We start from the raw sequence: 21,455 nt of genomic DNA on the forward strand, positions 1-21,455 counted from the left end.
AATAACATAGCTCTGCATTTGGCAAGCATAGGTTTTTAGAGCTCTAAAAGCTGTGTTTCAGCTTGCATCTAAAAGATAAATAACTACAGCCTGACTCTGAATTATTAAATATCTTTCTAAATAAAATAAGAATGTTCCCCTCAATAATTCTATATTTTACCTTTCTTGGCTTAAGTCACAGTTATCATCTTCAGCAAATTTACTTGAATACTGATAATGCAGTAAATGAACAATCCACTCCTTCCACGATAAGCCCAGTCCTGCCCTTTGAGCCCTCTGGGCTTTACATATTATTGGCTCTTCATCACAGATAGGTCACTGTTACCCTATCACAATGCAACTGCACATGAATGATATCTGGACATTATTAGATAACCTGTGGACAAAGAAGTAAGCCACCCTGGTGACTCAGTAATAAGTCAGACTAGGCCAGGCAGATAAGTGCACACCTGTAATCCCAGAATTTTGGGAGGCTGAGGTGGGCAGATTGCTTGAGCTCCAGAGTTCGAGACCAGCCTGGGCAACATGGCAAATTCTATCTCAAAAAAATACAAAAGTTAGCCGCGTATTGTGGCATGTACCTGTAGTCTCAACTACTAAGGGGACTGATGCAGAAGGATTGCTTGAGCCCAAGAGGTCAAAGCTGCATGCCACTGCACTCTACCCTGGGCAACAGAGTGAGGCCCTGTCTCAAAAATATATTTAAAAAAAGGAAAAACAAGAAGTCAGACAAATGGAGTATTAGATCCAGATATCTCAGCTTACTAAAAGCTGTTTTCAAAAACATAGATGATCCTTAGGCTGGAATGTCCAAGATTCTCTTGATCTGGCAGTACCAGTATGGCCACCAAACTGAGCAACAGTCCCTCAAGAAATCAGAGACAGTCAAGAAACCATACTCACTAAACACCAGTATCCCAGTCTGATAACTCTGGTAACATCTGCTTAAAAGGTATCCTTTGAACTTTTTGCAGTATTCTGTAACTTCCATAACATTTAAAGAAGCCTAGATCTCTGTGAGACTACTTGATCCTAACATCTTTATGGCAGCTTGATTTCTGTGCGCTAAAATCAAAAAGTCCAAGAAGTAAAAAAATAGTAGTAATAATAATCACAAGATGACATCCTCTATCATACACACCAAGCTCTTCATTCTCACATTTACTAACATGTAACCAAACTGCTAAATACCTATATTGTTTCACTTCAACTAAAAATTGACCCCCCAAAAAGTGAAAAGAGCTGCAGCCAAAATAAATAACGCTTGCCAAAAGGCCACAAATATGACCAAATAAATTAAACCATTAAATACTTTATACAAATAATTTTAACCTGAGTGTGGCATTTCCTTGAACTTATCAGACATTCAGTAATCACTGAAGTCGTAGAAAATTCCAGCCTTGGAGCATTTCCCTGAGAAGAAAAAAGAGGGTATTATTACACATTTCCATTTAAATAGAGATAATTATTAATGATAAGAATATGACCTAAAGTAACAAACACCTGTCAAAGTTCAGCTGTTTCACTGTTAGTTTGAACTTTTCATTAAAGATAAAGACAACATAGTATGGCTAAATGTTAGCAAGTAACAATGTCTCTGCTGATGATTCCATCATGAGTGATTATATTACTTTTATAAAATAATTAGTCTATTTTTTCATTTTTAAGTATTTCCCTGTCAAATTGTTTTAAATTTTTAAATTATGATATATTATAGCCATAAATATATAAACATACTTAATAAATTTCAGCTTTTTACTTTTACAACTTACGACATATTTAACCATATAGTCAAGAAACAAATGTTAGTTTGATTTAGCCATTCCACAACGTATACATATATCAAACATCATGTTGTATATCATAAATATATACAATTAGTATTACTCAATTAATTTTTTTTCTTAGAGACAAGGTCTCTGGAGTATAGTGGTGCCATCACAGCTCACTGCAGACTCTAACTCTTGGACTTAAGTGATCCTTTCCCCTCAGCCTTCCAAGTAGCTAGGACTACAGGATACACCACCACATTCAGCTAATTTTTTCATTATTTTGTAGATACAGGATCTCACTATGTCATGCAGGCTGGTGTCAAACTCCTGGCCTCAAGCAATCCTCCTGCCTCAGCCTCCCAAAGCACTGGAATTACAGGCATGAGCCACTGGGTCTGGCCTGTCCATTAAAATTTAAAAAAAACAAAACAAAAAACCCAGTTCCTCGGCATGTAGTTCTTGAAAACAGAAAAGATAAGTCTCTACTAATTCTGCCAACATTTTTTCCTATAATGTATCTTACATTCATATCTAGAAATGAATGTGGCTTATATTTCTAACATTTCAATCACCACCTTGAACACTGTTTGAAATAATAGAGATAAATGGTAAAATTCAAAAGGACAGTCACAAAGTATCTGTGAAAATATTTGGAAGCACACAATTACGCATTCACCAAAACATTAAAGAATACAGTCTATGCCCAGGGCAGTTTCATTCTAAAACAGTAAAAATCAGACATTGACCAAAGTATTAGGTTGGTGCACAAGCAATTGTGATTCAATACCTACATTTGGCCTCAACAAATCAAGTCTGTGACCAGCTAAGTTTAAAAACATCATACACATTAAAGAAAAGGTAAATCGGAGTTGCCTAACAATTGACTGAACTGATGTACTCTCGAAAATATAACACTGTCAATCTTACCACATTCTATTCATTAGCATCACTACAGTCTACACTCAAGAAGAGTAGTTAGGCTACATTTTCAATGTGTGTTCTTCTGCAAACGTATCTTCATAGTGATATCTGTGATATCCACTATATCTACTTGTTAATTACCTAGTACTACAAAACAAATTACCTTGAAACTTAGCGGTTTAAAGCATCAGTACACATTTATTATCTCACGTAATTTCTATGGGTCAGAAATCTGAGAGAGGTTGAGCTATGTGTTTCTGTGTTGAAATTTCTCGTGAAATTGTGGTCAAGATGTCATTTAGGCTGCAGTCAACTGAAAACTTGACTGGAGTTTGAGAATCTGCTTCTCAAGAAGGTTCATTCCCAGGGCTGTTGGCTGGAAGCCTCAGTTCCTTTCTAGCTTTTGGCAAGAACATTCAGCAACTCATAAACCTCTCCAAAAGGCTACTGAGTGTTCTCATGATGTGGTTCTAGTTAATCAAAGGGGATGATCCAAGAGCAAAGCAAGAAGGAAGCCACAATGATGTAGTCTCAGAATCTGACACTGTCATCCCTACCACATTCTATTCATCAGACTCACTAAGTATAATCCAAACTCAATGACAGAGTAGTTAGGCTACCTTTTCAATGAAGGAGTAGCAAAAATTTTGTGCACAGGTTTAAAACCACCAGTCTGCTCTCTGACCACAAATTACTTACATTCCTCTCACATGCAAAATACATTCATGCTCTACCAAAAAAAAGAAAAGAATTAAAGTCTCATCCTTGTACAACTTCAGCTTGAAATCCAGGATGTTGGCATCTAAATAAAATCCTGGTATAGATAGGGCTGCTGAGGTGTAGTTCCTTATGTACAGCTCCTAAAATGCAGTTTCTCACAATCAGAAGACATATGACCTAAAGAGAAAAGTTATCTGCCTCACACATGCCCAAGGTGCACATGTGCAGCAGGGACAGGACAATCACTATAGACATTCCTGTTTGAGCGTGGGAGGTCAAGGCTGCAGTAAGCCATGATCTCGCAACTGCACTCCAGCCTGGGTGACAAAGAAAGACCCTGTCTCAAAAACAAAACAAAACAAAAGAATCCCTTGTTCATCAGTAAACCTCAGATTTTCCTCTTCAGGTCTTCAATTTATTAGATCAGGCCCACTCAAATTGCCAAAGTAATCTCAAAGTTATCTCCTTTATTTAAAGTCAAGTGATTGTAAATATTAATCACAACTATCAAATACTTTTTAGAATAACATCTAGACTTGTGTTTGATCAAATAACTTAGCACCATAATCTAGCCAAATTGAAACATAAGATTAATCATCACACCATTTTAAATGTCAGTTCATCTATGAAGTCTACAAGATGCAATTCATTCATTCAATTTAATTAAGAGACATTTATTAAGTACCTACTCCAGGCAAGGTACTGTGTTAAGAGTTAAATTCAAAGATGAGAAAGTCAAAGATTCTGTTTTTATGGAGTTCACAATCTAGAACAGGAGATATTATCATCATCTCTACTCCATCATCACCATCATGATATTCACAGCTATCATCATATCACTAACATTTATTGAGTGTTTACTTGCCAGACACTGCTATAACCATTTACAAGTTTACATTAATCTACCCAAAAACCCTATGATATCGCCATGTTATGGTGCTTTGCCAAAGGTTACTCAGTTCATCCATGAAAGTGCCAGAATTTAATCCCAAATGTTGTCTGAATCCTTGCCATAGTAAAGGCTTCAGGAGCATAGCCTGGGACTTACAGATGATTATGCAGAATCACAAGAATTCCCAGAAGGAGTGCGCTGTTTTCTGCCAGGGCAACAAACTACTGATTGAAGCATTTTTCCTATTCGTATTTAAATATAATGATAGATATGGCTAGATTTAGAACTGCCAATTTGGTGTTCAGTTTATATATGTTCTATGTATTTCTATTCTTTGATTCTTTCTAGGAGTCTCACCTGCATATGCATAGGTAAGTGGTCATCCAGTGAACCCATAGGAGTCCTACCCTCTGCTGATGACCTGTGTATAGATTAGGAAATCATTCAAAATTGCAGCCAGGACTCCAGTCTCCCTTGGCTTTCACTTTTGGCTGGGCTCTCACTGTCTCCCCTTGATATGCAGTTTCACAGTCAGCCAAGAATAGGTGGAGAGTTTATCTCAGCCCTTTATTGTTACCTTACTCCCAGGACCTTCCTGTCAACTTTCTGGCAGGTAATCCTTGCCCCAGTTAGAGCTCTGCCTAGCAAAGCTGTGGGGTTTCTTCATCTGCTCCAACTGAATCCACCACAGTTAGCTGGCAAAGCTGTGCTATTTGTGCCACTGCCCAAAACTGATTCTGTTCCCTCTGGTAGCAAAGCTGTTGATTTTTGCACTAGCTCCAGAATAGATAAACTTTAGTTCTCACTTACCAAACAGAATATAAGAGCATCCCAGGCAAGAATGTTAATAGTCTCGCCAGTTTTTCCCAAAGCTTTAGCAGTTTTTCAAGCATGAAAACTTCTTCGTCTTACCTTGTCAGTTTCCAGTATCCTGAATTCATTGTTTGTGAAAATTTTGTCTAGTTTTATAAGAACTCTCAATCTCTTCAAACTGCCATTCGTAGAAGTCCTAATTTTTATATATTTTTGTTTTAATAATCCATCATCTTCCAAATAAATGCAAAAGTAACTCAAATTAAATGATGAAAAGTAAATCCCTCTTAATGTTCCATACTCTTGAGTTTATATTACCACATTGGTATAATACAGAATTTTAAATTACATTAAAGAGACCATAATTTTAAAATGTGATTATTTGTTCATTGTATGTTTCCACACAGATCTTGAAATACTCTTTGAAGACTTTCATAGTACAGAAGCATGCTAATGGACACTGAAATATCCCCAAAGAAAGTATAGTTTTATAGACTTGCTACTTAGTCAACTTTTATACTTTCATAAAGATGAAGCTGCTTTTTCTTGGAATAGGGCATATCATAAATCTATAGGAGAAATTACTTAGTTAACTATATTTGTTCATATATCAACACTCTCCTTATTCGGACTACTCTAATATTTTATACAATTAGTTTTAAAGGTCTATCCAAATAATTTCAAGCTGGACAATTTTTGCTTTTCCTCTTTTGAAATGGCATGGGCTTCTCTCAGTTTCTCTGCATGGAAGACTTACTTTCAGCAATAAAATATTTTCAAATCATCCACAGAACTTGAAGGAAGTTATAGTAAAGGATAGAGAGTAAGCTGTCACTTGATGCAGCTTTTAATTTTAGGTGTATGAATATATATTTCCATTATATACATATTTTACAATTAATCTATCTAAACTCCTACTAACAGACATATCAATTATTTCAATTTTTCACTATTATGAACCAACAGGTAAACATTCTTAAGAAGGCTCTTAGTGTACCAGAGAGAATACATCTTTAAGATAGATATTGTATTAGTTCATTTTTAATGGTACTGATAAAGACATACCTGAGAATGGGCAATTTACAAAAGAAAGAGGTTTACTGGACTTACACTTCCACATGGTGGAATGCAGGGAGGAGCAAGTCACATCTTACATGGATGGTGGCAGACAAAGAGAGAGCTTGTGCAAAGAAATTCCCATTTTTTAAACCATCAGATCTCATGAGACCCATTCACTATCATGAGAACAGCGTGAGAAAGACCCATCCCCATGATTCAATCATCTCCCACCAGGTCCCTCCCATAGCACATGAGAATTATGGGAGCTGCAAGATGAGATCTGGGTAGGGACCCAGAACCACACCACATCATTCAGTCCCTGGACCCTCCCAAATCTCTTATCTTCACATTTCAAAACCAATCATGCCTTCCCAACAGTCCCCCAAAGTCTTAACTCATTTCAGCATTAACTCAAAAGTCCACAGTCCAAAGTTTCATCAAGACAAGGCAAGTGCCTTCCACTTTTGAGCCTGTAAAATCAAAAACAAGTTAGTACTTCCTAGATACAACGGGGGTATAGGCATTGAGTAAATACAACAACTCCAAATGGGAGAAATTGACCAAAACAAAGGGGCTACAGGCCCCATGCAAGTCCAAAATCCAGCAGGGCAATCAAATCTTAAAGCTCCAAAATGATCTCCTTTGACTCCATATCTCACATCCAGGTCACACTGATACAAGAGGTACGTTCCCATGGTCTTGGGCAGCTCCGCCCCTGTGGCTTTGCAGGGTATAGCCTCCCTAATGGCTGCCTTCACTGGTTGGCACTGAGTGTCTGCAGTTTTTTCCAGGCACATGGTGCAAGCTGTCAGTAGATCTACCATTCTGGGATCTGGAGAATGGTGGCCCTCTTCTCACAGCTCCACTAGGCAGTGCCCCAGTAGGGACTCTGTGTGGAGGCTCTGACCCCACATTTCCCTTCTAGGCTGCCCTAGCAGAGGTTCTCCATGAGCACCTCGCCCCTGCAGCAAACTTCTGCCTGGGCATCCAGGCGTTTCCACACATCTTCTGAAATCTAGGCAGAAGTTCCCAAACCTCAATTCTTGATTTCTGTGCACTTGCAGGCTCAACACCACATGGAAGCTGCCAAGGCTTGAGGCCTGCACCCTCTGAAGCCACGACCCAAGCTCTATGTTAGCCCCTTTCAGCCATGGCTGGAGTGGCTGAGACACAGCACCAAGTCCCTAGGCTGCACACAGCACAGGGACCCTGGGCCTAGCCCACAAAACCACCTTTTCCTCTTAGGCCTCAAGGCCTGTGATGGGAAGGGCTGCTACAAAGGTCTCTGACATGCCCTGGAGACATCTGCCCCACTGTCTTGGTGATTAACATTCAGCTCCTTGTTACTTATGCAAATTTCTACAGCTGGCTTGAATTTCTACTCAGAAAATTGAATTTTCTTTTCTATCCCATTGTCAGGCTGCAAATTTTCCAAACTTTTATGTTCCATTTCCCTTTTGAAATTGAATGCCTTTAACAGCACCCAAGTCACCTCTTGAATGCTTTGCTGCTTAGAAATTTCTTCCACCAGATACCCTAAATCATCTCTCTCAAGTTCAAAGTTCCACAGATCTCTAGCACAGGGGCAAAATGCTGCCACTCTCTTTGCTAAAGCATAGCAAGAGTCACCCTTATTCCAGTTCCCAACAAATTTCTCATCTTCATCTGAAACAACCTCCGTCTGGACTTCATTGTCTATATCACTAACAGCATTATAGTCAAAGCCATTCAACAAGTCTCTAGGAAGTTCCAAACTTTCCCACATCTTCCTGCTTTCTGAGCCCTCCAAACTGTTCCTCCATCTGCCCATTACCCAGTTCCAAATTCACTTCCACATTCTCGGGTATCTTATAGCAATGCCACACTACCTCGGTACCAATGTACTGTATTAATCCATTGTCATATTGCTAGCAAGAAATATCTGAGACTGGGTAATTTATCAGGAAAGAGGTTTAACTGACTCACAGTTTTACATGGCTGGGAAGGCCTCAGGAAACTTACAATCACAGTGGAAGGGGAAGAGGCAAATCATCTTACATGGCAGCAGGCGAGAGAGAAAATGTGTGTGCAGCAGGAAATGTCAAACACTTATAAAACCATCAGATTTCGTGAGAACTCACTTGCTATCATGAGAACAGCACGGGGGAAACCACCCTCATGATCCAATCACCTCCCACCAGGTCCCACCCCTGACACACAAGGATTACAGGGATTACAATTCAAGATGAGATTTGGGTGGGGACACAGAGCCTAACCATATCACATGGTATAGCAGCATATGAAAGATTCTAAGTTTTTCACTTTTATCAGATTTATTAAATTTTCCCAATCTTATAGCTATATAAATGAAATCATATGGTTGTTTTAACTTGGATTTCTCTGAATACTAATGAGTTAGAGTATTTTTTCAAATGTTTATTATCATCCCTTAGAGAGAAAAATAAAGAGAAGAAAGAGACAGAGAGACAGAGATGGGATGGGGAGAGAAGGGGATGACAGAGATTTGAAGAATGTCAATTACAATTTAAAAAATTTTTAATGGCACTTTTTATTAAATTATTTTCATTTAGATTTCAATATGTTTAAGTAACCAATTTACTGTATTAGTCTGTTTTTACATTGCTGTAAATAAATATCTTTATATGTTTAAGTAACATATTGAAATCTAAAACAATTAAGATTTAAACTACAAAACAATTAAGTAAACTAAATTACACTTTGAATTTGTTCTTCACATTTAAGATGGCGAGCACTATGCGGTGGTTTCTGACAATGATTTTCCATCAAAAACTGATTCAGAAAATTGCAAGCACTTACTCGAAGGCCAGAAATCCTCCTCATGGTAACCTGGCGGTTTGAATCATGGTGTCCAGACATTTGGTTTGGACCCGGAAACATGAAATCTCGTGTATTTTCGTCATACGTAGACAGTGTTTCACCCACTACAAGAAAGATACCCTATGATTCAAATTATAATAAAATATTCTATTTAGAAACAAAATCATCAAGTATGATATATCTACTGCCTGATGCCTTATTGAAATACCTGTTTTGGGTCATGTTTATTTTCTATGAAAGGAAAATTAAAATAAAGATATGTTAAAAATATTAACACATTTTCCTTTTTCAGAAACATACTACAAAAATATGAAGTTGGTCCAACATTTATATGTCAGTTACCATCTCCACATTGGTTTTTGTTTGTTTGTTTTTGAGACAGACTTTTTTTTTTTTGAGATGGAGTTTCACTCTTTTTGCCCAGGCTGGAGTGCAATGGTGCCATCTCAGCTCACTGCAACCTCCACCCCACCCTGGGTTCAAGTGATTCTCCTCCTGCAGCCTCCTGAGTAGCTGGGACTACAGGCATGCGCCACCACACCTAGCTATATATTTTTAGTAGAGATGGGGTTTCAACATGGTGGCCAGGATGGTCTCAATCTCCTGACCTCATGATCTGCCCACCTTGGCCCCACAAAGTGCTGGGATTACAAGCATGAGCCACCGCGCCCAGCCAGCACTCTATTTTTCACATAAAATAAAAATTTGATTAATATAGATGTCATCTATAATCACAGAAATCAATATCAGAAATGAAACTAGCCTCTATATTTTAACTCTGCCTTCTCCAGGGAACTGTAACATTTACTACATAAGTAAGGTTTTATTCTCTTCCCTTCCCTAATAATATGCAACACACAAAAACAATGATAATTAACTACTTTATCAATAAAAATATATAGTTTTAGAAAAATCACAAAAACTTAAAAGTCAATTTTTATGACTGTCACAAAATATTTTAGAATGATAAGTTAGTTTCCATTTTCAATTATTACTATTCAATTTTAGAACAATGTATTAAAGTGACATTTATGACAATCTTTCTGTATATATTATTTTGGTCTACTGACATTTTACACATAGTAGATCAACAATAGAAATCTGACACTGTTCTCAACTTGGGAAGAGGAGGATAGATGAGATTTTTTTTTTGAGACGGAGTCTCGCTCTGTCACCCAGGCTGGAGTGCAATGGCATGATCTTGGCTCACTGCAACCTCTGCCTCCCGGGTTCAAGTGATTCTTCTGTCTCAGCCTCCCGAGTAGTTGGGATTACAGATGCCCACCACCACACCTGGATAATTTTTCTATTTTTAGTAGAGACGGGGTTTCACCATGTTGGTCAGGCTAGTCTTGAACTCCTGACCTCAGGTGATCCGCCTGCCTCAGCCTCCCAAAGTGCTGGGATTGCAGGCATGAGCCACTATGCCCGGCCTGAAAAGATGAGATTTTGAAGTAAAAAAAAATGTCACTCACATGAGTTCCCAAGTCAATTTACTTTATCAGTATATAATACACTATATTATATCCTTATCAAATAATATAGTATAATCAATATATAATATATTATATATTACATCAATTTATGATATCTTATATTGTATATATTACATCAATATATATTACCTGGTGGAACTAGCTGTATCAACTCGAACACTGCTGTATCATCTAAAAGTTTAAAGAAAAATTTCCTTAAATAAACAAATTAATAACAAAAAAATTACTTAATTTACCATGGGAGTGTCTAAAAGCCAAAGTAATCACTAGGTAGACTACATATATGTTTATATATTAGTATATAATGTACACTTCTTTTTTTTTTTTTGAGACAGGGTCTCACTCTGTCGCCAGGCTGGAGTGCAGTGGCGCAATCTTGGCTCACTGCAACCTCCGCCTCCCGGATTCGAGCAATTCCCCTGCCTCAGCCTCCCGAGTAGCTGGGACTACAGGTATGCGCCACCACGCCCGGATACTTTTTTTTTTTTTTTTTTTTGCATTTTAGTAGAAACGAGGTTTCACCATGTTGGCCAGGATGGTCTCGATCTCCTGACCTTGTGATCCACCCACCTCGGCCTTCCAAAGTGCTGGGATTACAGGTGTGAGCCACCGTGCCCAGCCTAATGTATACTTTTATAAATATAAGTTATGTCTATTTCTTAAGCAGAGTGGTGAGTACAGTGAGATACATTGACTCTTGAACAACTTGAGCGTTAGGGGCACCAACACCTGTGCCATCAAAAATCCATGTATAATTTTTGACTTCCCAGAATCTTAACTTGATAGCCTATTGTTGACCAGAAGCATTACTAGGAACATAGTTGATTAGCATATATTTTATGCTATATGTATTACATACTGTATTCTTACAATAAAGTAAGCTAGAGAAAAGAAAATGTTATTAAGAAAATCCTAAGGATGAGAAAACACATTTATGGTACTGTATTTATTTATACCATAAGTTTATATTGTCTGCTTACAAGATAAATTGTCTGTTTGAAACGGAATGCAACCACAGCTGTAGACCTCTATGTATGGTACATATCAAGCAATTCAACTTTTTCTTGTAATGTCATGAGTTTTCTCTGCTTCTTGAGAGCACTTCCAGCATGACTAGTGAAACTTTGTGTGGGTCGCCTGAACTGATGAATTGCTGGAAGCTCAGTGCGGACAAGTGTGAGAGATTAAAACTCCAGAGAAATCCAATCATTGGGCTCTCAAGTTTTTGTTAAGTTTTACTTCCAGGAGTTCTACTAGGTTCTCACTATAAATACTGGAGAAAAATCCCCTCATATTTCCACCAGCAGGGAGAAGAGAAAAGAAACCATTTTGAAGTACGTCAGAGCATTCCATTCTTAACAAAACCTGACCTCAGGAGAAATTCTTTTTTCTACAGCCTCATCTACTGGGCTCATATCAGAGCCTAACCTATCTGAGAGAAAGAAAATACTTAACTCCAGCCAGCTCTGAACTTGACTTGTAGGAAGAAAATAACCCAACTCCAGCTCCCTCTAGCCTTCTATGTGAGAGAAGGGAAATACCCAACTACAGCCATATCTAGCATTCCACACAGGGGAAGGGAAAAACTCACTGCACCTCCCTCCAGCCATCCTGTCCAAACTAAGAGGGGAAAATCAGAAGCACCGGTGAAGGTCACAATTTAGGGGCATAGGCTCACCAAAAGACTGCAACCTGATCATAGGACTGTAGAACACCTCCCTCTCCTCACACCTTACATTACTAAAAGCTCTTTACCACAGTTCTATTCACTCAGTATAGCTTTCAGCAAATAAGTACATACTAAGTACAAATACTTACATAAGGCATACTACACAGCAAAAAAACAGTTTGAAGAGACTGAACAAGCATCAGACCCAGAGTCAGATATGGCAGGAATATTGGAATTACTAAATCATGAATTTTGAAAAACTATAACATGCCATGGGATCTAATGGAAAAAGGAAACAACATGTAAGAACAGCTGGATAATATAAGCAGAAAGAGACAGAAATTCTAAAAAAAAAAAACTGTCAACCTAAATAACAAACAGCAAGAGATTCTTTAAAGAAAATAATATTTATTCAGGAATAGGGCACTGAAATGGGAATAAAGGTGCCATAGTAAACTATATGTGCGTTCAGGGAAGCAAAGGAAGACAAATGGTTTTAAAGGGAATGTGAGGAAAATTACATAATTGTTTTGAAATGATTAGTCTTGGCTACAAGTATCAATAACAAGGGTGATGACAGTCCAAGGTTGGACAGGACGTTGCTGGGCAGATGTGCTCACGCAAGTAGTTTTTGGGTTAGGTTGCGATGGCCTTTGTGCAAGGCTTAGATTTTTGTAGAGTCTTTTATGATAGTTTTGTTATCAGGCATATAAGTGTGAGAATCCTCCCTTCATAGCCTTTCCCCATATTTGTCAGGGGTTTTTTGGTGTTTTTGGTTTTTGTTTTTGTTTTTAACACAGACAACTTGATTTTGATTCTGACAATTTTCACAAATAAAAAAGAAATAGTATAGATTGAAAACACTGTAATGGAAATGAAGAATGCCTTTGATGAACTCACTATTAGATGGGACATGGCTGAAGAAAGAATCTTAAAGCTTAAAGATATGACAACAAAAATTTCCAAAACTGAAAAGCAAACAGAAAAAAAGACTGAAAAAAAAAACCACAACAGAATATTCAAGAACTCTGAGATGACAACAAAAGGTATAAATACACGTGATGAGAATACCAGAAAGAGAAGAAACAGAAAAAAAAAAACACAAAAGTGCCTGAAGCAATAATGAAAACAAATTTCCTTAAATTAATATCAGATGCCAAACCAAAATACAGGAAGGTCAGAGAAGAGCAAGGAGAATAAATGCCCCCCAAAATATCCCTAGGCATGTCATATTCAAACTTCTGAAAATCAAAGACAAAAGAAAACTCTTGCGCCAGGCACGGTGGCTCACACCTATAATCCCAGCACTTTTCAAGGCTGAGGAGCGTGGATTGCTTGAGCTCAGGAGTTCAAGACCAGCCTGGGCAACGTGGCGAAACCCTGTCTCTACAGAAAATACAAAAATTAGCTGGGCATGGTGGCACGCACCTCTAGTCCCAGCTACTCGGGAGGCTGAGGTAGGAGATCACTTGAGCCAGGGAGGTAGAGGTGGCAGTGAACCAAAATCATACCCCTGCACTCCAGCCTGGGTGAAGCAGCGAGACTCTCTCAAAACAAAGTTTGAAAAGAAATGAAAAATCCTGAAAGAAGCCAAAGGGAAAAAATACTGAACCTATAGAAAAGCAAAGATAAGAAATACATCTGACTTGTCTCAGAAACCATTCAAGCAAGAAGAGAGTAGAGTGAAATATCCATATATATATAGATAAAAGGATATATGAGATTTGCTTCAAAATAATGATGTATGAAAAAATCAAATTCCTACAAAAAGAAAACATTTACATAACATATAGGAAAAAGTGAATACTCACATATGTATGTGTGCATGTGTGTGTATATTTATGTATGTGTATATATGTACACACAAATACACACAAATAAATAATATTTTATTTAAAACCTTACAACAAATAAAACACGTAAGCCAGATGACTGCACTGGTGAATTTATTTTCAAAATGCCAGTGATGTGCATACTCCTAGGAAACAGTAAAAGAAAGAATACTTCTCAACTTATTTATGAGCCCTGCAAAATCTTGATACTAAAACCTGACAAGGACCTTATAAGCAAAGAAAAACGACAGGCAATCTATTTCAGGAACAGAGATGCAAAAATCCTAAACAAAATATTATCAACTCAAATCAACTAATATACAAATATGGTTTAATATTAAAAAATAATGCAGCATAATTCACCAAATGAACAGAATAAAAGAGAAAAAAAGGTGTTTCATAAAATTTAACCACTATTTATGCTTTTAAAAAATCTCAGCAAACTAAGACTAGAAGGGACCTTTTTTAATGTGATACAGGCTTTCTACCAAAAACCTATAGCAAACATCATACCAAGTGGTGAAAGTTAAAACTTTCCCTCTGAGATAAAGAGTAAGACATACACTTCATTCATGGCTATCATTTACTTCAACATTTTACTGGAGTTCTGAGCCACTGCAATAAAGCAATAAAAATAAATTAAAAGATTTAACAACAAGAAAAGAGAAACTATGATGTTCATTATTTAAAGACAATGCAAACACAAAATGTTCAAAGTAATCTAAAGACACATTTCTTTTAAATTAACGTATATAGCAAAGTTGCTAAAACAAAGATAATATGCCAAAGTCAAATGTATTTTTATGTAACAGCAACAATTAGAAACAATGTTATAATCTGTTTTTTAAATGTGAAATACCTAGAACAATACTGAATGAAAGATGCTTAGACTGCGACACAGAAAAGTATCTACATTATCATGTATAATTAAAGAAGTTGAAAATTAATAGAGAAATATATATATTTGAGAGACATCAACAAATCACAATGTATGGAATTTATCTGAGTCTCAATTCAAACACAAGACTATTTTAAAAATTATAAAACAGGGAGGCCGGATGAGGTGGCTCATACCTGTAATCCCAGCACTTTGGGAGGCTGAGGTGGGCAGATCACAAGGTCAGGAGTTCGAGTCCAGCCTGGCCAATATGGTGAAACCCTGTCTCTACTACAAATACAAAAAAATTAGCCAGGCATGGTGGCACATGCCTGTAATCCCAGCTACCCAGCTACTTGGGAGGCTGAAGCAGGAGAATCGCTTGAACCTGGGAGACGGAGGTTGCAGTGACCCGAGATCTCACCACTGCACTCCAGCCTGGGCAACAGACAGAGCGAGACTCCATCTCAAAAACAAAAAAACAAAACAAAACAAAAAAACATTTTTGTTTTTTGTTGTTGTTGTTTGGTTTTTTTTGTTTGATTTTGAACAACATCAACATCCATGTGAATGACTCATCCAATAGTTCTCTGACCTCCTCAAAGCCAGGACACCTATGGAAGGATTCTGATTATATAGTTACATACCTGATTCTTCTTTTACTAAAATGGATGTTCTTTTAAACAAAGGGTCTGTATTTTATGCATTTCTTAATTCTCTATATTGTCTTTTAGTAATTGTGTCTGTACAGGTAATTTAAAAACATTTAAACTAATCTTAGTTATTATCATAGATCACTGGATAAGCAACTTTTGCTTAAAAAGACTTTTCTATCAACCCTCAAATAACACAATATATCCTATGAATACATCATGCTTCTTCTAATCTCATTATCAATAAATGGAAGAACAAAAAAGGGAAAATGCTGAAGTGGTACTAATATGAGTTTGGCTTCTATGAAACTTGACTGACCTTACAATAATTATAATGATTAAGCACAAAGCAAAATCCTGTCTTCTAGAAAATATCTGAGCATACAATAAAATTTCATTAGAAATCAAATGAATTTCTGGGCATGGTAGCTCACTCCTATAATCCCAGCACTTTGGGAGGCCAAGTTGGGAGGGTTGCTTGAGCCCCGGAGTTCGAGACCAGCCTGGGCAACATGGCAAGAACCCATCCCTACAAAAAAAAAAAAAAAAAAAAAAAAAAAAAAAAAATTAGCTGGGCCTGGTGGCATGTGCCTGTGGTCCCAGATACTTGGGAGGCTGAGGTAGATCACTTGAGCCTGGGAGGCAGAGGTCACAGTGAGCTGAGACTGCCACCGCACTCCAGCCTGGGCAACAAAACAAGACCCAGAAAAAAGCAAGAAAGCAAGAGAGGAAGGAAGGAAGGAGGGAAGGAAGGAAGAAGGGAAGGAAGGAAGAAGGGAAGGAAGGAAGGAGGGAAGGAGGGAAGGAGGGAGGGAGGGAAAGAGAGAGAGAGGAGAGGAGAGGGGAGGGGAAGGAGAGGGAGGAAGGAAAAGGAGAGAGAAGAAAGGGAAGGAGAAAGAGGAAAGGGAAAGGGAAGGGAAGAAGAAATCAAATGAGTTAAACAATCTTAGGATACGCTCAGTTTCTTAATTTTCCATATATACTAACACTATATTTTTCCTGAGGTCAATTACTCTGCAACCTCAACTATTTGAAAAACATGATTACAAACTAGAAAATACTTTAAAAACAAAAAACTTATGAGTAATCAAAACAGTGGTATTTACTACCATTTAAACAGTATCTTCTGTGTGTCAAGACTAAGCTTCTATTAGCTTCAAACAAATCCTCAAAACAACCCTAACAAGGTAAGTACTACCTCTATTTTACAGATAAAAAACAGAGACTAAAGGCTAATGTTATCAAAGATAACAGTTCCTGACCTCAGGTATTACTGTCTTCAAACCTGTGTTCTTTTCACTAACAACTCGACTAGAACTAGAAAATAGTGATTTACAAAATATACGTGGTATTTGAATGAGGAGTAGAATAAAGAAATAAGACAGTTGCTAGAGGGAGACAAGGATGAAGACAGGAAATATTTCTTTTTAGGGTGGAAATGCACAACATGTTTATATAGGGTAAGAAAGCAGCAACGAGAAAGACACTAAGGAAATGGGGCTTACGGGATACATCTAATGAACAAGCTCCTAGAGATGGCATGAGGAGATAAATAAAGAAGACATGTAAACAGAATAACTTTAAACAGAACAGAGAAACCTCATCCTGTAAGACTGGGCAAAGATAAGTATGGGTAAGGGTAGGTTACTTTTAGGACAGAGCACAATAAACTTAGGCACATCACTACTATTATCTCAATTTTGGTCAGTGAAATGGGAAGTAATCATCTCTTCATCTTAAGAATACTAGAGTTTAAACAAGGGGACACCTGATATGAAAAATGAATATGTTTACAATATCAATGATAGAAATTAAAGAGAAAGTTTTCCAAGAAGTAAAAGGAGTCCAAGGTAGTAATGAGAAGCAATTTATGATGGTACTGATTTGAAGGTCATGAGAATCTATCCATCTGATACTATGAAATATATATTTGGTCTTCATCCCCCTCCAAAGGACTGTCTTTTTGTATGCCAATACTGACTGATAGCTTCAGGATGGGCCTGGTCACTGGAAAGACAAGAGTATGATTAGAGTTGGGACTTGCAGCACCCCCCACAAACTCTAGGAGGAGAGAGGAGTGGAGGGTCAAGTTGATCACCAATGGCCAATGGTTTAAACAATCATGCCTATGTAATGATGCCTCTGTAAAAACCCAAGAAGACAGTTTCTGAATAGCTAGCATGTGGAGGTTCCTGGAGGGTGGCTCATCCAGGGTGGGCATGGAAGCTCCGTGCCCCTTCTACTATACGTCATGCTATATATCTCTTCATCCATATTCTTTATACTAGCCTTTATAATAAACTGGTAAACATAGGTTTAAGTGTTCCTCTGAGCTTCGTAAGCTGCTCTAGCAAATTAGTCAAAGAGAGGATCACGGGAACCCCAACTTCAAGCCAGTCAGGAGGAAGTTCCAGCCTGGACTTGGGCCTGCTGTCTTTAGGGGCTGCAGGATATGAGGGACTAAACCCCTCAATCTGTGGGATCTGACACTATCTCCAAGTAGAAAGGGTCAAAATTAAATTGGAGGACACTCAATTGGTATCTGCTGAAGAAGTTTATTGCTTGCTTGGTGGTGGGGAGAACCCCTACCACTTTGGTCACAGAAGTCTTCTTCTGTGTTGATGATTGTTGTGGTAAAAGAGAATAGAGAAAAACATGGCTTGAAGCAACAACAAACTAACCTAGTATAAGAGCCAGGGAGGCAAGTTGCAGCATTGACCCAGTAATAGACGCTTATTAAGAATCTTCTACATGTTAGCTTTGATGTGACATTTGATATAATGAAATAAATAAGGTAAAATAAGATGTAGAAAGAAAGTTTCACAGCAGAATACTATTGAGCCATGAAAAAGAATGAAATCTTATCATTTGCAATAACATGCATAAACCTAGAGGACATTATGTTAAGTGAAATAAGCACAACACAGAAAGAAAAAATGATGCATTATCTCACTCATTGATGAAATCTAAAAAAAACTATGATATAACAGAAGTAGAGAGCAGGATAGTAATAACCAGAGCTTGGGTAGGTTAAGAGGAAGAGAGGATGAGGAAATACTGATTGATGAGTACAAGATTACAGTTAGATAGGATGGACTAATGCTGGTGATCTATTGCACAGTAGGGTGACCATAGTTATCAACAATGTATGGTATATTTCAAAATGGCTAGAAGAGAGGCCTCTGAATAGTCTCAGCAAAAAGAAACAATAAATGTTTGAGGTGCTAGATATGCCAATTATCCTAATTTGATCATTACACAATGTATAAATGTATTAAAATTTCATATGATGCCCTATATATATGCACAATTATTATGTCAATTAAAAATAAAATAAAACTTGAAAAAAAAAGAAAGCTTCAATGTAACCAACACAAAAAGAACAAATCCTTTTAAGTAGCCATGTTATATTTGATCTCTATCTTATATGTTCAAGGAAAAAGTCAATAAATTCCAAGAACCAGTAGTATTATAAGCCACATCTTATGGTTATATTGCAAACTAATAATATTTTTAAGATCATTAAGCCAATCGTAAATAAATATTTGAAATAGACTGAAAAGACTTAAGACATAATATGAAAGTACAGTAGAATGACTGAATATAAGATAAATATATTTTTGTCACTTTACTATATATCAACCCCACCTTCCCTTAAAAACAGAAAAGAGAAAAAAAGAAAACAAATTGGGTGAAGAATCTTACTCTCAAAAGCAGCAAGAAAAATATAATAGTTAAAAACAAATATAGTCAGAAATATACAGCAAATATACACATACACACAGTCCCCAAAACATTAGTAGTAACAAGCTGGAAGAAAACAAGTTTAAATAAATCAATATTCATCACATATCTGGATGGGAAGAATGGAAATGTAAAAATGGCAATTCTCCCAAAATAAAATTAAAGAGATTTATCTTAGACCTTCAAAAATGATTCAAAGTTCATCTAGAAAAATAAATATGCAGGAATATGAATGTGTGTATCAAATGGAAAGAATATACATCATAGAAAGCTGTAATGCTTAACTATGCATTATCAGTCCAATACAGATTTGGAATAATGAAACAGGCATAATGGGGGGAAAGGAGGATGGGAGAGTATAGAAAGGGTGAGAGAAGAAAATATATTAATGAGAAACAGATTTCTGCTTCTATAATGACAATTTACACAAAGCAGACCAATCATTCTAAAAAGATTAAGAAAATCTGGACAAATTATTTTTTAAAATCTGCCTGTATTCACAGAGATGCTAATAAGGCAGTGACGAATGACAAAGCCAAGATCTGGGAGAAGGCAAAGCCAGGGAGATGAACCAGACATTGAAGCTGCTTTCTCCCTAAGAGCATCTGCTAATTCTGGAAAAGAGAAATGAAAGACTGGAAAAGCTGAGCTGAGATTTTTATGGTCTCACAGACTAGAAGCAGAATATGAGTGCAGGGTCTACCAAGAAGAGGAAGCCTTTATAAAGTCTCTTCAATTTGGATAGGGCCCCCAGAAGACAGGATCATAGGAATAAGGATTAACTCAAAAGAACCTGGTCTTTACAAGGACTGAAGTCCATCTTCAAATAATCTCAATGCCTGACACTGGATTGATATCATCAAGGATTGCTAGTACTACTAGCAACCTACTATAAACAAATAAAAAGCAAACATAAAGCCTATCTGGAGAAAGAGAACAAGATACTACACCTTCAATTATTTTTACAATTTTTCACATACAATGCCACATATTCAAAATTAACCATGAATGGTACAGTTAATTTTGGGGAAGTATTCAGCAATGTCAACTAAAAACAGGCATACGTCTACCCTATGATTCAGAAATTTCACCCATAAGAATATACCAAAAGAACTAAGTATATCTCTTTACCAAAAGATATTTATAAGAATGCTCACAATAGTTTTATTCATAATAATCCAAAATTTAAAACAATTGTCATCAATAGAAAAATGAATGGTAGTATACTCATACAATGTAATACTAAACAGCATTAAAGAATGAACTACTGGGACATAACAACATAGATAATTCTAACAGACACTAGGTTTAGTTAAAAAAATTAAAATAACATATTCAAATAAATACCTATTACATGATTTCATTTATATGAAGTCCAAGAATAAAATTAATCAATGCTGATAAAAAGTCAGAAAAGTAGGCCGGGCATGGTGGCTCACACCTGTAATCCCAGCACTTTGGGAGGCTGAGGCAGGCAGACCACTTGAGGTCAGGAGTTCAAGACCAGCCTGACCAACATGGAGAAACCCCACCTCTACTAAAAATACAAAATTAGCCAGGCATGGTGGTGCATGCTGGTAATCCCAGCTACTCGGGAAGCTGAGGCAGGAGAACTGCTGGAACCCAGGAGGTGGAGGTTGCCTTGAGCAGAGATTGCACCATTGCACTCCAGCCTGGGCAACAAAAGCGAAACTCCATCTCAAAAAGAAAAAAAAAAAAAACAGAAAAATGACTATCCTGGGGAGAGGTATTGACTGGTAGGGGCAAAACAGAACTTTTATTTAATGTTTAATTTTCTTTCTTTCTTTCTTTTTTTTTTTTTTTTTTTGTCACACAGGCTGGAGAGCAATGGCACAATCTCGGCTCACTGCAAACTCCACCTCCCGAATTCAAGTGATTCTCCAGTCTCAGCCTCCCGAGTAGCTGGAATTATAGGCATCCGCCACCATGCCCGGCTAATGTTTGTATTTAGTAGAGATGGGGTTTCCACCATGGTGCCCAGGCTGGTCTCAAACTCCTGACCTCAGGTGATCCGCCTGCCTCAGCCTTCCAAAGTGCTGAGATTACAGGCATGAGCCACTGCATCCTGCTTTAATTATTTTTTAAAATTGTGTAGGTACATACATAGTACATGTATATATTTATGGGGTACATGAGATGTTTTAATAC

General features: G+C 37.3%; 1 protein-coding gene across 21 annotated transcripts in view; it reads right to left on the minus strand.

The window, feature by feature from the left end:
* Nucleotides 1–21,455, minus strand: part of SPATA6 (spermatogenesis associated 6) — a 210,816-nt gene that overhangs the window by 141,081 nt on the left and 48,280 nt on the right. For 11 of the 21 annotated variants that reach the window (XM_047422913.1, XM_047422901.1, XM_006710699.4 and 8 more), the window contains 3 exons: nucleotides 10,641–10,682; nucleotides 8,995–9,119; nucleotides 1,333–1,413 (listed from right to left, as the gene is read on the minus strand). In XM_047422913.1, coding sequence (XP_047278869.1) covers nucleotides 1,333–1,413; nucleotides 8,995–9,119; nucleotides 10,641–10,682 — 248 coding nt within the window. Of the gene's footprint in view, nucleotides 1–160; nucleotides 270–1,332; nucleotides 1,414–4,662; nucleotides 4,727–5,217; nucleotides 5,325–8,994; nucleotides 9,136–10,640; nucleotides 10,683–21,455 lie in introns of those variants that run through there. The other 10 variants (XM_047422902.1, XM_047422919.1, XM_017001510.2 and 7 more) reach the window with 6 other exon arrangements.

This window comes from Homo sapiens, chromosome 1, assembly GCF_000001405.40.
Source record: "Homo sapiens chromosome 1, GRCh38.p14 Primary Assembly".
Lineage (NCBI taxonomy): Eukaryota > Metazoa > Chordata > Mammalia > Primates > Hominidae > Homo > Homo sapiens.